Source organism: Homo sapiens, chromosome 7 (assembly GCF_000001405.40).
Source record: "Homo sapiens chromosome 7, GRCh38.p14 Primary Assembly".
Taxonomy (NCBI): Eukaryota; Metazoa; Chordata; class Mammalia; order Primates; family Hominidae; genus Homo; species Homo sapiens.
The window spans coordinates 77,128,015-77,143,378 of NC_000007.14; the positions used below are offsets into that span (position 1 = coordinate 77,128,015).

The 15,364-nt window shown below is 38.0% G+C and overlaps 1 protein-coding gene and 1 long non-coding RNA gene across 4 annotated transcripts in view, besides 1 other annotated feature; one reads left to right on the plus strand and one right to left on the minus strand.

The window, feature by feature from the left end:
* Positions 1-15,364, plus strand: part of CCDC146 (coiled-coil domain containing 146) — a 172,590-nt gene that overhangs the window by 5,400 nt on the left and 151,826 nt on the right. The gene's annotated exons all lie outside the window — the stretch shown is intronic.
* LOC124901678 (uncharacterized) overlaps positions 1-15,364 on the minus strand; it is a 40,041-nt gene that overhangs the window by 1,509 nt on the left and 23,168 nt on the right. The window contains exon 2 of the long non-coding RNA XR_007060391.1: positions 492-712. This is a non-coding gene — a long non-coding RNA (uncharacterized LOC124901678). The remainder of the gene's footprint in view (positions 1-491; positions 713-15,364) is intronic.
* Positions 677-796: an enhancer, noted in NCBI's record as "active region_26203". NCBI's record gives its function as "activates an Ori minimal core promoter by ATAC-STARR-seq in GM12878 lymphoblastoid cells {active_cell/tissue: GM12878}" and the evidence as "EXISTENCE:reporter gene assay evidence [ECO:0000049][PMID:35858748]".

Genomic DNA, 15,364 nt, shown 5'->3' on the forward strand with positions numbered 1-15,364 from the left:
TTTCTCTTATTTTAAACTGCTCCGTTTATTTTACTGTGGTTTCTTTACCTTCTCTTGCCTTTTTAATTATTTTAAACATACTGATGCAAAATTATTCTAGTCTGTTCTGTTATGAGGTTGCTGTTTCTCTTTTGCTACATAAACAAACTCTGTTTCATGGTGGTTTATTTCTTGTCATGGCTTATAAATTTTTATTTATAGCTCATCTTCAGCGGGAGTTCTCTTTTCTGAAAATCCTTTACATTCTAGATTACAATAAAATTTTTCTTGTTCCCTGTAGAACAATTTTGGATTTGCTTCAGTCAGAACTCGACCAATTTCCATGGTCATGGGCCAGGTTTTCGATTTTTATTTCCTTTTATTTTTGCTTCATTTCCTTCTGTGCAAAGTAATTCATTCATACAAAAGAATAAAGTATGAATAAAGTCTAAAGAATAATAGTAAAAAGAACATCTTTATGCCTAACACCCAGTTTAAGAAATAAGACATACCAATAAGTTTCAGTTTCCTTGTTTCTTTTTTCCTCCTTTATCTTCTGGCTTTCACTTAAAAGCAGGCTGAATTGAGAACTGTGTAGAAGAAAAGGGGCTCCTGCCACACAGAAATTGTAGGGAAATCCCGATTTTTTTCTTTCCGTTTTGGTCTGCTGGCCCTGCCACAAAGCCAGCTCCAAACATAGATTTGCACTGCCACTGCCAGGCTGTGAGGTTTCCTAAGAATAAAAGAGAACACTGTCTCTCTGAATAGAGGAACTGGAAAGAGAGTGTGTGGGGGAATCCCGATACTCTTTCTCTCTTTTTCTTGATATTTTACCTCGAGGGCAGCCCCAAGTACTTAGAAGTGAATGGCAGCATAAGGCAAAATCTTTAAGACAGCCTGATCCTTTTGGCCATAACAAAAGGGGCCCACAAAAACTGTAAAGTGTAGCCGAAATCCCATGTAGAAGAGAACTAGAGAAGGTGATCCTAATTCTATGTTTGAAACTACGTAAGTAACAGGGTCAGCCCTACTCCTGCACAAACATGGAGTACAGTAGGCCCCTCTTATCTTTGGCTTTGCTTTCTGAGGTTTCAGTTTCCCATGATGAACTGCAGTCTGAAAATATTAAATGGAAAATTCTGGAAATAACTTGTAAATTTTAAATTGCACACAGTTCTGAGAACATGATGAAATCTTGCACTGTCTCACTCCATCCTTTGTGCAGCATATCCACACTGTCTACCCTACCCACCCAATTGTCACTCAGTAGCTTAGCTGTTTTGGTTATCAGATTTGCTGTTGTGATATCTCAGTGCTCGTATTCAAGTAACCCTTATTTTACTTAATAATGGCTCCAAAGCACAAGAGTAGTAATGCCAGCAATTAGGACATACCAAAGAGAAGCCATAAAGTATTTCCTGTGAGTGAAAAAGTGAAACATTCTCAATTTAATAAGGAAAGAAAAAAACTATATGCTGAGATTGCTAAGATCTAAGGTTAGAATGAATCTTCTGCCTGTGAAATTGTGAAGAATGAAAAATAAATTAATTCATAGTGTATATAGAGTTTGGTACCAATCCTGGTTTCAGTCATCCACTGGGGATCTTGGAACATATCCCCCATGAATAAGGAGATACTACTGTAATCTCTACTGATCTGTCTTCAAGTTCACTGATTTTCTCCTTGTTCAAATCTACCATTGAACCCCCCCAGCGAATTTTTCAATTATTATAATTTTCTACTTAGGAATTTCAATTTGGTTTCCTAAAAATTTCTACTTATTGATATTCTCTGATGAATTACATCATACTCTTCTTTAATTCTTTAAATATGGTTTCCTTTCATTCTTCAAACATATTTATAATATCTGCTTTGAAGTCACTGTTAAATCAGACACCTGCCCACTAGTCATTTCATAGGCATCTCAGTTATCAGATCAACTGTTGATGTATCTCAGTGCTTGCATTCAACTAACCCTATTTTACTTCATAAGGGCCCCAAAGTACAAGAGTAGTGATGCTGACTACTTGGATATACCAAAGAGGAGCCATAAAGTGCTTCCTTTAAGTGAAAAGGTGAAAGTTTTTGACTTAATAAGGAAATAAAAAAATCATATGCTGAGGTTGCTAAAATCTATGATAAGAACAAATCTTCTATTTGTGAAATTGTGGAGAAGACAATTTTGTACTAGTTTTGCTGTCACATCTCAAACTGCAAAAGTTATAGCCACAGTGCCTGTATAGGATATATAGGGTACTATCCACAGTTTGAGGCATCCACTGGAGGTCTTATAAACGCATCCCATGCAGATAAGGGGAGGACTACTCAAGAAAGCATAGTTAAGGCTTTGAGAAATGAACTATGATAAAAATACCACAAAGGTCTCAGAACAACTCGCAAGCGTTGCATGTAATGTACAGACCCAAAGAGCATAGCAAAGGCTTTGAAAACTAAATATTGGAATTACTGTCCCTGAAGGCATGACAGAACTTGTGATCTGAGCCTAACCAGATTGATTACTTACTAAAACAAACAAAAATCAGTATCTTTAGAAGATTTTAACAGGACCCAGAGCTTCATAGCCAGCATAATATCCTTTCTTTCTTTTTTTTTTTTTTTTTTTGAGACGGAGTTTCGCTCTGTCGCCCAGGCTGGAGTGCAGTGGCGCGATCTCGACTCACTGCAAGCTCCGCCTCCCAGGTTCACGCCATTCTCCTGCCTCAGCCTCCCGTGTAGCTGGGACTACAGGCGCGCGCCACCATGCCCGGCTAATTTTTGTATTTTTAGTAGAGACGGGGTTTCACCGTGTTAGCCAGGATGGTCTCGATCTCCTGACCTCGTGATCCGCCCGTCTGGGCCTCCCAAAGTGCTGGGATTACAGGCGTGAGCCACCGCGCCCGGCCCTTTTTTTTTTTTTAAACGGAGTCTCACTCTGTCATCCAGGCTGGAGTGCAATGGCGCAATCTCGGCTCACTGCAACCTCTGCCTCCCAGGTTCAAGCGATTCTCCCGCCTCAGGTTCCCAAGTAGCTGGGAATACTGGCGCATGCCACCACACCTGGCCAATTTTTATAAAGACGGGGTTTCACCATGTCGGCCAGGCTGGTCTCAAACTCCTGACCTCAAGTGATTCTCCCACCTTGGCTTCCCAAGGCTGGGATTACAGGCATGAACAGCATAATAGTCAAATTGTCCATCTTAAAATCCCAAATTACTCAACATATCAGAAACAGGAAAATCTGGCCAAAATTTTCAAAGGAAAAGTTACCACCCCCAAATTATCAAAGACTATTTACAATCGCCAAAAACCTTGAAACAACCCAAAGGTCTCTCAAATGTGAGTGGAAAAGCAAACTGTAGTACATCCACATAATGGAATGCTGCTCAGTAATAAAAAGTGACAATTGGTACACACAACAAAATAGATAAAAATCTCAAGAACAGGCCGGGTGCAGTGGCTCACACCTGTAATCTCAGCACTTTGGGAGGCCGAGGTGGGCTGATTACTTGAGGTCAGAATTTTGAGACCAGCTTGGCCAACGTGGCGAAACCACGTCTCTACTAAAAATACAAAGATTACCCAGGCATGGTGGTGGGTGCCTGTAGTCCCAGCTATTTGAATGGCTGAGGCAGGAGGATCCCTTGAACCTGGGAGGTAGAGGTTGCAGTGAACCAAGATCGTGCCACTGCACTTAAGCCTGGGCAACAGAGTGAGACTCCGTCTAAAAGAAAACAAAAACATAAACAAAAAACAAAAAACTCAAGAACATTTTACAAAGTGAAAGAAGCTATACTCGAAAGATTACATACTCTGTGATTCCACTTATATGATATTCTGGAAAAGGCTAAATAAAAACGATAGGGAGCAGATCACTTGTTGCCAGGAGTTACATGTGGAGATAAAGTTTGACTACAAAGGGGTACTGCATGAAAGAATTTACTTTGGGCCAAGGGAAGGGAAAGAACTGTTCTGCATCTTGATTGTAGTCATGGTAACTTGCGTACAAGCATTTGATAGAATGCATAGAACTGTAAACAAAAAGAGTAATTTTTACTCTATGTAAATTTAAAAGTGAATTTCAAAAAATCATGCATAAAAAGAAAACACCATCTGTGAAGCAGATGACCTTACAGGTGAATTCTACCAGACATTTTCAGAGAAATAATAATAGCAGTTTTACATAAACTGTCTCAAAAATTAGAAAGGAGAGAACTCTTCCCAACTCACTTTATGAGGACAGTATTGTCTTGATAAAAAAATTAGACAAAAATATTGCCAAAAAAGAACTAGAAAACAATCCCTCATGAACACAAAAGCAAAATCCTTAACATTACATGAGCAAATCAAAATCAATAATATGGGAAAAGGATAATGCATCATGACCAAGTGGGGTTTATCTCTCGAATGCAAGATTAATTTTATGACTAAAAATCAAGCAGTGGACCAGGTGTGGTGGCTTATGCCTATAATCCCAGCAATTTGGGAAGCCGAGATGGGAGGATCACTTGAATCCAGGAGTTCAAGATCAGCCTGGGCAACATAGTGAGTCTCGATCTCTACAAAAAAAAAAAAAAAAAAGAAAGAAAGAAAAAAATCAGCCAGTCATGGTGGCACACACCTGTAGTCCCAACTACCCAGGACAATGAGGCAGGAGAATCAGTTGAGTCCAGGATGTCAAGGCTGCAGTGAGCTATGATTGTACCATCACACTCCAACCTGGGTGACAAAGTGAGTCTCTGTCTTAAAAAATAAGTAAATAAACAAATAAATAAATAAATAAACAAATAAAATTAAGCAGTGTAATTCACCACTCACAAACTAAAAAAAGGGAAAATGTGATTGTCTCTATAGATTTTTTTTCTTATCTCAATAGATTTTTTTAAAAAGTGTTTGGTAGGCCGGGCACGGTGGCTTATGCCTGTAATCCCAGCACTTTGGGAGCCCAAGGTGGGTCGATCACCTGAGGTCAGGAGTTCAAGACCAGTCTGGCTAACATGGTGAAACCCCATCTCTACTAAAAATATAAAATTAGCCGGGCATGGTGGTACACGCCTGCAATCCCTGCTACTCGGGAGGCTGAGGCAGGAGAATTGCTTCACCCCAGGAGGCAGAGGTTGCGGTGAACCGAGATCACGCCACTGCACTCCAGCCTGAGTGACAGAGCAAGACTCCATCTCAAAAAAAAAAAATTTTTTTTGGCAAAACTCAGTGCGATTCCTGATAAAAACTCTCCACTAACTTGAAAGAGAAGAGAACCTCCTCCAACAACAGGCATCTGTGAAAAATTTACACTTAGTGCTACACTTTAATAATGAAAGACTGAATGCTTTCCCTTTAAGATTTGGAACAACTTTTGTTGTTGTTGTTGTTGTTTTGAGACGGAGTCTCACTTTGTTGCCCAGGCTGGGGTGCAGTGGTGTGATCTTGGCTCACTGCAACCTCTGCCTCCTGGGTTCAAGCAATTCTCCTGCCTCATCCCCACTTAGTAGCTGGGACTACAGGTGAGCACCACCACACCTAGCTAATATTTGTATTTTTAGTAGAGACGTGGTTTCACCATGTTGGCCAGGCTGGTCTCGAACTCAGGTGATCCACTTGCCTCGGCCTCCCAAAGTTCTGGGATTACAGGTGTGAGCCACCACGCCCAGCCTGGAACACCTTTTTTTTTTTTTTTTTACCACTTTTATTCAGCATCGTACTGGAGGTCCCATACAATGCAATTGGACAATAAAATAGCTTCTGGTTTGGGGTTCTTCATGTAAGGCACTTGGTGCTACTCCATCCTAACAAATAAAAAGCTGAACAGACTGAAAAATCAATTACATATGCTTAGGTACACACACACACACACACACACACACTCACACACACATATATGCTTCTATATGAGTAAAATTAATGACAGCAATGATATAATTGGCAGGAAGGAGTAATTATGATTATTTTGTTATTATAAGGTGAAGCAGTACACAATCGTCCCTTGGTATCTGTGGAGCATTCATTCTAAGACCCCTGTGGATACCAAAATCCACACATACTCAAGTCCCTCTGCATACCCTGCATAAGAGAAAAGTTGGCGCTCTTTACTGGGGGATTTTGCATCCTGCAATCTGCATTTGGTTGTGGATGCAGAACTCTACAAGAGGGAGGGTTGACTGGATTTATTGAAAAAAAAAATCCTTGTAAAAGTGGACCCATGCTGTTCAAACACATATATTGCTAGAGCCAAATGTAGTGTCATTTGAAAGTGGACTAGGATTAGTTGGAAATCAACACTGCAAATTTAGGGCTACCACTAAAAGAAATAATTATAAATCAAATGCTAAAAAGGAGAGAAAATTGAATCATATAAAATGCTCAGTTAGAACCACAAAACAGAAAAAGAGTGGAAGATAAAAATAAGAACAGCAAGGGCAATCAATAAAAAATAGTAACAAATATGATGGATATTAATCCAACTACAGCAGATCCTCAAATAATGTTGTTTTGTTCAACATTGTTTTATAGTAATATTGATGAAAAAAATAAATTTCTGGCTAAGGCCACTCTGTGTGTGTGTGTGTGTGTGTCTGTGTGTGTGTGTGTGTGTGTGTGTGTGTGTGTGTCTATGGGGTATGCATGTTCTCCCTATGTCTGCCTGGGTTTTCTCTGGGTACTCTGGTTTCCTACCACATCCCAAAGACGTGCATGTTAGGTTAATTGGAGAGTCCAAATTGTCCCTGTCTGAGTGAGTGTGAGTTGGGGGTGTGTATGTGTGTCCTGCAATGGAATGGCATCCTGTCCAGGGTTGGTACCTGAGCTGCTGGGATAGGTTCCAGCTAGCTGAGACCCTGAACTACAGTAAGTGGATTGGAAAATGAAGACATAAACAGATACAAATTATTGCAAAATAAAAATTCATAAAGTATGTGATAATTATACAAATGTACAACAATAAATGCAGTATGAAAGCACTCAGCAAGCCCACCATATTTGTTATTGTTTGTTTTTGAACTGCATAGTGGTAGAAGGTGCTTCTTACAATGTTCCCTTTGCAAATATTTATTCCTTGATTTAACTCATCACAACTACAACCACCATTGCTCACTGGTTCACCAAAAATTGAGTAAATAATTATCTTGTTTTTCTTAATCTTTCTTAAATATATGTATAGCCCGCATTTATTTCAGTTTGTAATGTTAGAAGTGTTTTGAGTCTTTATTTAGAAGTTTGGACCAGGTGCAGTGGCTCACACCTTTAATCCCAGCACTTTGGGAGGCCATCGTGGGTGGATCATTTAAGCCCAGGAGTTTGAGACCAGCCTGGGCAACATGGCAAAACCCCATCTCTACAAAAAATACAAAAATTAGCCAGATGTGGTGGTGTGCATCTGTAGTTCCAGCTATTCAGGAGGCTAAGATGGGAAGACTGTTTGAGGCCAGAAGATTCAGGCTGCAGCAACAGAGTGAGACACTGAAAAAAAAAAGAGAGAGAAAGAAAGAAAGAGCGAGAGAGAGAGCGAAAGAAAGAGAGAGGAAGAGGAAGAGAAAAGAGAAAAAAGAAAGTTGGTAGTGTTTTTCCATAGGAACTTGTTTATATCAGTTAGCCTATAGTAATACTGGTTTTGTTATGCATTGTCTTGCTTAAAGTCTCAGTTTCTAAGAGCCTGTCAACAACATTAAGAACTTACTATATATCAGTAATCGCTTTGAACAGCAACGATAAATGCACCAATTAAAAGACAGAGATTGTCAGAGTGGATGAAAAAAACAAGACCCAACCATAGGATGTCTACAAGAAATCTACTTTAAATATAAGACATATAAATTAAAAGTAAATGGGTGGAGAAAAATATACCCTGTTAACACTAATCAAAAGAAAGCAGAAGTAGCTATATTAATTTCAAACACAATTGACTTCAAAAAGGAAAGTTATCAGTGATAAAGGCATTACATAATGATAAAGGAGTTAATTGTCCAAGAAGGTGTAATAATCCTTAACACATGTGCACCTAACAAGAGCATCAAACTAGGTGAGACAAAACTGATAGAGCTGCAAGAAGACATATTTAAAACAACATGTCTCAAAAACAACAACAACAACTAAAACCCTTTCAATTCAATGAAGGTGAAAACAACGTATCAACGTTTGTGGAATGCAGTGAAAGCAGTGTGTAGAAAGAAATTATGTAGTATTGAATGCATATTTTAGAAAAGAAGAAAGATCTAGAATTGTTTCCACCTTAGAATACTAGAAAAAGAAGAGCAAGTTAAATCCAAAGTAAGCTGAAGAAAATAAATAAGAATTAGAGCAGATATCAATGAAATTGAAAACAGGGAATCAGTAAAGAAAATAAATGAAATGAAAAGCTGGTTCTTTGAAAAGATTAATAAAATTGATAAGCCTCTAGTGAGGCTGATTAAGAAAAAAGACAGAAGACACAAATTACTGACATCAGAATGAAACTGATCACTACAGATCTCATGGACATTAGAAATATTTTAAAAAGGAATACTATGAACAACTCTGTATCTACAAATTTGATAACTTAGAAAAAATGGACCAATTATTTGAAAGATATAACATGCCAAAATCCATATAAGAAGAAATAGACTCTCTGAATAGGCCTATATCTATTAAATAAATTGAATAAATAATAACCTTCCAAAATAGGAAGCACAAAGTTCAGATGGGTTTACTGGTGAATTCTATCAAAGCCTTTAAGGAAAAAATTATACTAATTCACTACAATTTCTTTTGGTAGATAGAAGAATACTTCTGAATCACTCTGAGGCCAGCATTATTCTAATGCCAAATCTAGACAAAGACCTTAAAGAAAACAAAATTATGGACCAATGTCTCCCATAAACACTAAGTGCAAAAATCCTCAACAAAATTGAATCAACAATGTATAAAAATAATTATATACCACTACCAAATGGGATTTGTTTCAAATATGCAAGGCTGGTTCAACACTCAAAAATCAATAGATGTAATCCATCACATCAACAGGCTAAAAAAGAAAAATCATGTGACCATATCAATAGATGCAGAAAAATTATTTGACAAAATGCAAAGCCCATTCATGATAAAAAACAAAAACTCTGAGTAAACTAGGACTAGAAAGGAGCTTCCTCAACTTGCTAAAGAATATCTATATAAAACCTGTAGCTAACATCATACTTAAAGGTGAGAAACTAGAAGCTTTTCCACTAAGATCAAGAACAAGGCAAAGATGTCCCCTCTCACCACTCCTTTTCAACCCTGTGCTGGAAGTTATAGCTGATGCAGTAAGACAAGAAAAGTAAGTAAAAGACATAGATTGGGAAGAAAAAAAATAAAACTGGCTTTATTCTCATATAACATGATTGTCATGTAGAAAAAGAATCAACAACAACAAAAAACTCCTGAGACTAATAAGTGTTTATAGCAGAGTTGTAGGATGTAAGTTTATTTTGCAAACGTCAGTCACTTTCCTACGCAGCAGCAATGGACAAGTGGAATGTGAAATCAAAAACAAAACATCATTTCCATTAGAACCCCTTAAAGTGAAATACTTAGGTATAAATCTAACAAAATAAAGATATATAAGGAAAACTACAAAATTCTGATGAAAGAAATCAAAGAACCTAAGAAATGGAGAGATATTTCATGTTCATGGAGAGAAAGACAATATTTTCAAGATGTTAGCAGTTCTTCCCAAATTGATCTGTAGATTCAATGCAATCCCAATCAAAATCTCAGCAACTCATTTGTGGATATCAACAAACTTATCCTAAAGTTTATTTGAAGAGGCAAAACACCCAGGATAGCCAACCCAATATTGAAGGAGAAGAACGAAATTGGAGGACTGACACTACCCGACTTCAATACTTACATATAACTCAAATATATGTAGGTTCTGTTGTCTTAGTTCAGGCAGCTGTAACAAAAGTGCAATAGACTAGGGGGCTTAAATAACAGAAATTTATTTCTCACAGTTCTGAGGCTGGGCATTCTCAGATCACAGTATTGCTGGTGATACTGACCATGCTGGCATGGTCAGTTCTGATGAGGCCTTCTTCCTGGTTTGCAGACAACAGTCTTCCTGTTATTCCTCGTATGGTGGAGATAGAGAGGAAGGAAGCTATAAAGCTATAGTAATCAAGACAGTATGGTACTGGCAAAAGAGTGGACAAATAGGTTAATAGAACAGAATAAAGGGTCCAGAAATAGACCCACATAAATATAGTCTGCTGAATTTTGACAAAGGAATAAAGGCAATACAATGGAGTAAAAGACAGTATTTTCAACAAATGGTGCTGGAGGGGGCAGTTGCAAAAAAAAAAAAAAGAGGTATTGGAAGAACTGGACATGTACATGCAAAAAAAAATGAATCTAAACACAGTTCTTCCACTCTTAACAAAAATGAACTCAAATGGATTTTGACCTAAATGTAAAATGCAAAACTATGAAACTTCTAGAAGATAACATAGAAAACCTAGATGACCTTGGGTTTGGTGAATACTTTTTAGATACAACTCCAAAAGCATGATCCATTAAAGAAATCATTGATAAGCTGAACTTCACTGAAATTTAAAAGTTCTGCACTACGAAAGACAATGTCAAAAAAATGAGAAAACCCACAGGCTGGGAGAAAATATTTGCAAAAGGCACATCGATAAAGGACTATTATCTAAAAATACAAAGAACTCTTAAAATTCAAAAACAACAACAAAAAGATTTAAAAACGGGCCAAAGACCTTAACAAAAATCTCACCAAAGAAGATATACAAATGGCAAATAAGCACATGAATACATGCTTCACATTGCAGGCAAATGCAAGTTAAAACAATAGTAAGATACTATCACACACCTATTAGAATGGTCAAACTCCAGAATACTGACAACACTAAAAGCTGACAAGAATGTGGTGCAACAGGAACTCTCATGTATTGCTGTGAAAGTGCAAAATGCTATAGTCACTTTGGAAGATAGGCAGCGTCTTACAAAACTAAATATACTCTTAACATATATCCAGCAATCATGCTCCTTAATATTTACCCAAAGGAGGTGAAAACTTATGTCCATATAAAAATCTGCACATAGATGTTTAAGCAGTTTTATTTATGATTGCCAAAACTAGGAAGCAACCCAGATGTCCTTCAGTAAATGAATGAATAAATAAACTTTGACACATCCAGATGATGGAATATTATTCAGCAATAAAAAGAAATGAGCTGTCAAGCCATAAAAAGACATGGAGGAAACTTAAGTGCATATTACTAAGTGAAAGAAACCCATCTGAAAAGTCTACATACTGCATGACTTCAGCTATATGACATTCTGGAAAAGGCAAAACTGTGGAGACAGTTAAAAAAAGATAGTGATCACTAGGGAGTTTGGAGTGGGTGGAGAGAGATGCATAGGCAGAGCACAAAGGATTTTTAGGGCAGTGAAAATGTTCTGTATGATACTATAACGATGGATACCTGTCATTATACATTTGTTCAGATACCTAGAATGTACAACGCTAAGAGTGAACTCTAACGTAAACGATGGACTCTAGGTGATTATGATGTGTCAATGTAGTTTCATCAGTTGTAACAAATGTGCCACTCTGGTGGAGGATGTTGATGATAGGGGAAGTTATGCACATATGGGAACAAGGAGTATGCTGGAAATCTCTGTACATTTCTCTCAATGTTGCTATGAATCTAAAACTACCCCCACCTCCCAAAAAATAAGTCTTAAAAAATTCACTTTAGAAAAGAAGTAAAATTGTCTTTATTCACAGACAACATGATTAAGTAGAAAATTGTAAGAAATCTATTAAAAAGCTACTAGAACTAAAATGAAATTTTACAAAGTTATAGGATACAAGGTCAAAAACAAAAATCAATTCTCTCCCCTTCCTTCCTTCCTTCCTTCCTTTCTTTCTTTATTTCTTTTTCTTTTTTTTTTTTGAGACAGAGTCTTGCTTGTCACCCAGGCTGCAAGTGGCACAATCTCAGCTCACTGCAACCTCCGCCTCCTGGGTTCAAGCCATTCTCCTGCCTCAGCCTCCCCAGTAGCTGGGATTACAGGCGTGCACCATCACACCCAGCTAATTTTTGTATTTTTAGCAGAGACGAGGTTTCACCATGTTGGCCAGGCTGGTCTGGAACTCCTGACCTCAGATGATCCGCCTGCCTCGGCCTCCCAAAGTGCTGGGATTAAAGGCATGAGCCACCGTTCCCGGCCAATCAGTTGTATTTCTAAGAACTAATAATAGCATTTGGAAACTGAAATCTTAAAGTCACTTACAATAATGTACAGAATATGTAATAATTAGAGATAAACAACAAATATATTCAGGTTCTGTTGTCTTAGTTCAAGTAGCTATAACGAAAGTACTATAGACCAGGTGACTTAAGTAACAGAAATTTATTTCTTACAGTTCTGGAAGCTGGGCATTCTGAGATCACAGTATTGCTGGTGATACTGATCATGCTGGCATGGTCAGTTCTGATGAGGCTTTCTTGCTGGTTTGCAGACAACAGTCTCCTTGTTGTTCCTCACATGGTGGAGTTAGAGAGGAAGGAAACTGTCTTCTGTAACTTCTTTTAAGGCCACTAATCCCATCGTGAGGCTCCATACTCATGACCTAATTACCTCCCACAGGCCCCATCTGGAAATATCATCACATTGGGGATTATGAACTTTTGAAGGACGCATTCAGTCAATAGCACCCGTCCTCTGAAAAGTATAAAACATTACTGAGAGAAATTAAAGCAGAGTTAAATAAGTAGGGGAAAATACCATATTTAAGGAAAATCTAATTCAATACAAGATGTCAAATCTCACATTATTTTTAGTAGACACGTTGATATATTGATATCAATATTGATATATCGATATCACATTGATATATTGATTGATATATATTGATATATTGATTCATCACCATCCCAGTCAAAATTCCATTAGCCTTTATTTTTTTTTATACTTTCAGTTCTGGGATACATGTGCAGAATGTGCAGGTTTGTTACATAACTATACACTTGCCATGGTGGTTTGCTGAACCCATCAACCTGTCATCTACATTAGGTATTTCTCCTAATGCTATCCCTCCCCTAGCCCCACACCCCCTGACAGGCCTCGGTGTGTGATGTTCCCCTCCCTGTGTCCCTGTGTTCTCATTGTTCAACTCCCACTTATGAGTGAGGACATGTGATGTTTAGTTTTCTGTTACTGTGTTAGTTTCCTGAGAATGATGGTTTCCAGCTTCATCCATGTCCCTGCAAAGGACAAGAACTCATCCTTTTTTATGGCTGCATAGTATTCCATGTTGTGTATGTGCACATTTTCTTGATCCAGTCTATCACTGATGGGCATTTGGGTTGGTTCCAAATCTTTGCTATTATTAACAGTGCTGCAATAAATATACATGTGCCTGTGTCTTCATAGTAGAATGACTTATAATCCTTTGGGTATATACCCAGTAATGGGATTGCTGGGTCAAATGGTATTTCTGGTTCTTGATCCTTGAGGAATCGCCACACTGTCTTCCACAATGGTTGAACTCATTTACACTCCCACCAACACAGTAAAAGCGTTCCTATTTCTCCATATCCTCTCCAGCATCTGTTGTTTCCTGACTTTTTAATGATTGCTATTCTAACTGACGTGAGATGGCATCTCGTTGTGGTTTTGATTTGCATTTCTCTAATGACCAGTGATGATGAGCTTTTTTTCATATGTTTGTTGGCTGCATAAATGTCTTCTTTTGAGAAGTCTATGTTTGTATCCTTTGCCTCTTTTTGATGGGGTTGTTTTTTTCTTGTAAATTTGTTTAAGTTCCTTGTAGATTCTGGATATTAGCCCTTTGTCAGATAGATAGATTGCGGAAATTTTCTCCCATTCTGTAGGTTGCCTGTTCACTGTGATGATAGTTTCTTTTGCTGTGCAGAAGCTCCTTAGTTTAATTAGATCTCATTTGTCAATTTTGGCTTTTGTTGCCATTGCTTTTGGTGTCTTAGTCATGAAGTCTTTGCCCATGCCTATGTCCTGAATGGTATTGCCTGGGTTTTCTTCTAGGGTTTTTGTGGTTTTAGGTATTGATGGAATGTATCTCAAAATAATAAGAGCTATTTATGACAAACCCACAGCCAATATCATACTGAATGGGCAAAAGCTGGAAGGATTCCTTTTGAAAACTGGCACAAGACAAGGATGCCCTCTCTCACCACTCTTATTCAGCATAGTATTGGAAGTTCTGGCCAGGGCAATCAGGCAAGAGAAAGAAAGAAAGGGTATTCAAATAGGGAGACAGGGAGTCAAATTGTCTCTGTTTGCAGATGACATGATTGTACATTTATTTATTTATTTATTTATTTATTTATTTATTTATATTATACTTTAAGTTCTAGGGTACATGTGCACAACGTGCAGGTTTGTTACATATGTATACATGTGCCATGTGTACATGTATACATGTGCCATGTGTACATGTATACATGTGTACAATGTGCAGGTTTGTTACATCTGTATACATGTGCCATGTATACATGTGCTGCACCCATTAACTCATCATTTACATTAGGTATATCTCCTAATGCTTTCCCTCCCCCCTTCCCCCACCTTACAACAGGCCCCGGTGTGTGATGTTCCCCTTCCTGTGTCCAAGTGTTCTCATTGTTCAGTTCCCACCTATGAGTGAGAACATGCAGTGTTTGGTTTTTTGTTCTTGCGATAGTTTGCTGAGGATGATGGTTTCCAGCTTCATCCATGTCCCTATGAAGGACATGAACTCATCCTTTTTTATGGCTGCATAGTATTCCATGGTGTATATGTGCCACATTTTCTCAATCCAGTCTATCATTGTTGGACATTTGGGTTGGTTCCAAGTCTTTGCTATTGTGAATAGGGCTGCAATAAACATATGTGTGCATGTGTCTTTATAGCAGCATGATTTATAATCCTTTGGGTATATACCCAGTAATGGGATGGCTGGGTCAAATGGTATTTCTAGTTCTAGATCCTTGAAGAATCACCACACTGTTTTCCACAATGGTTGAACTAGTTTACAGTCCCACCAACAGTGTAAAAGTGTTCCTATTTCTACACATCCTCTCCAGCACCTGTTGTTTCCTGACTTTTTAATGATTGCCATTCTAACTGGTGTGAGATGGTATCTCACTGTGGTTTTAATTTGCATTTCTCTGATGGCCAGTGATGAAGAGCATTTTTTCATGTGTCTGTTGGCTGCATAAATGTCTTCTTTTGAGAAGTGTCTGTTCATATCCTTCGCCCACTTGTTGATGGGGTTGTTTGATTTTTTTCTTATAAATTTGTTTGAGTTCTTTGTAGATTCTGGATATTAGCCCTTTGTCAGATGAGTAGATTACAAAAATTTTCTCCCATTCTGTAGGTTGCCTCTTCACTC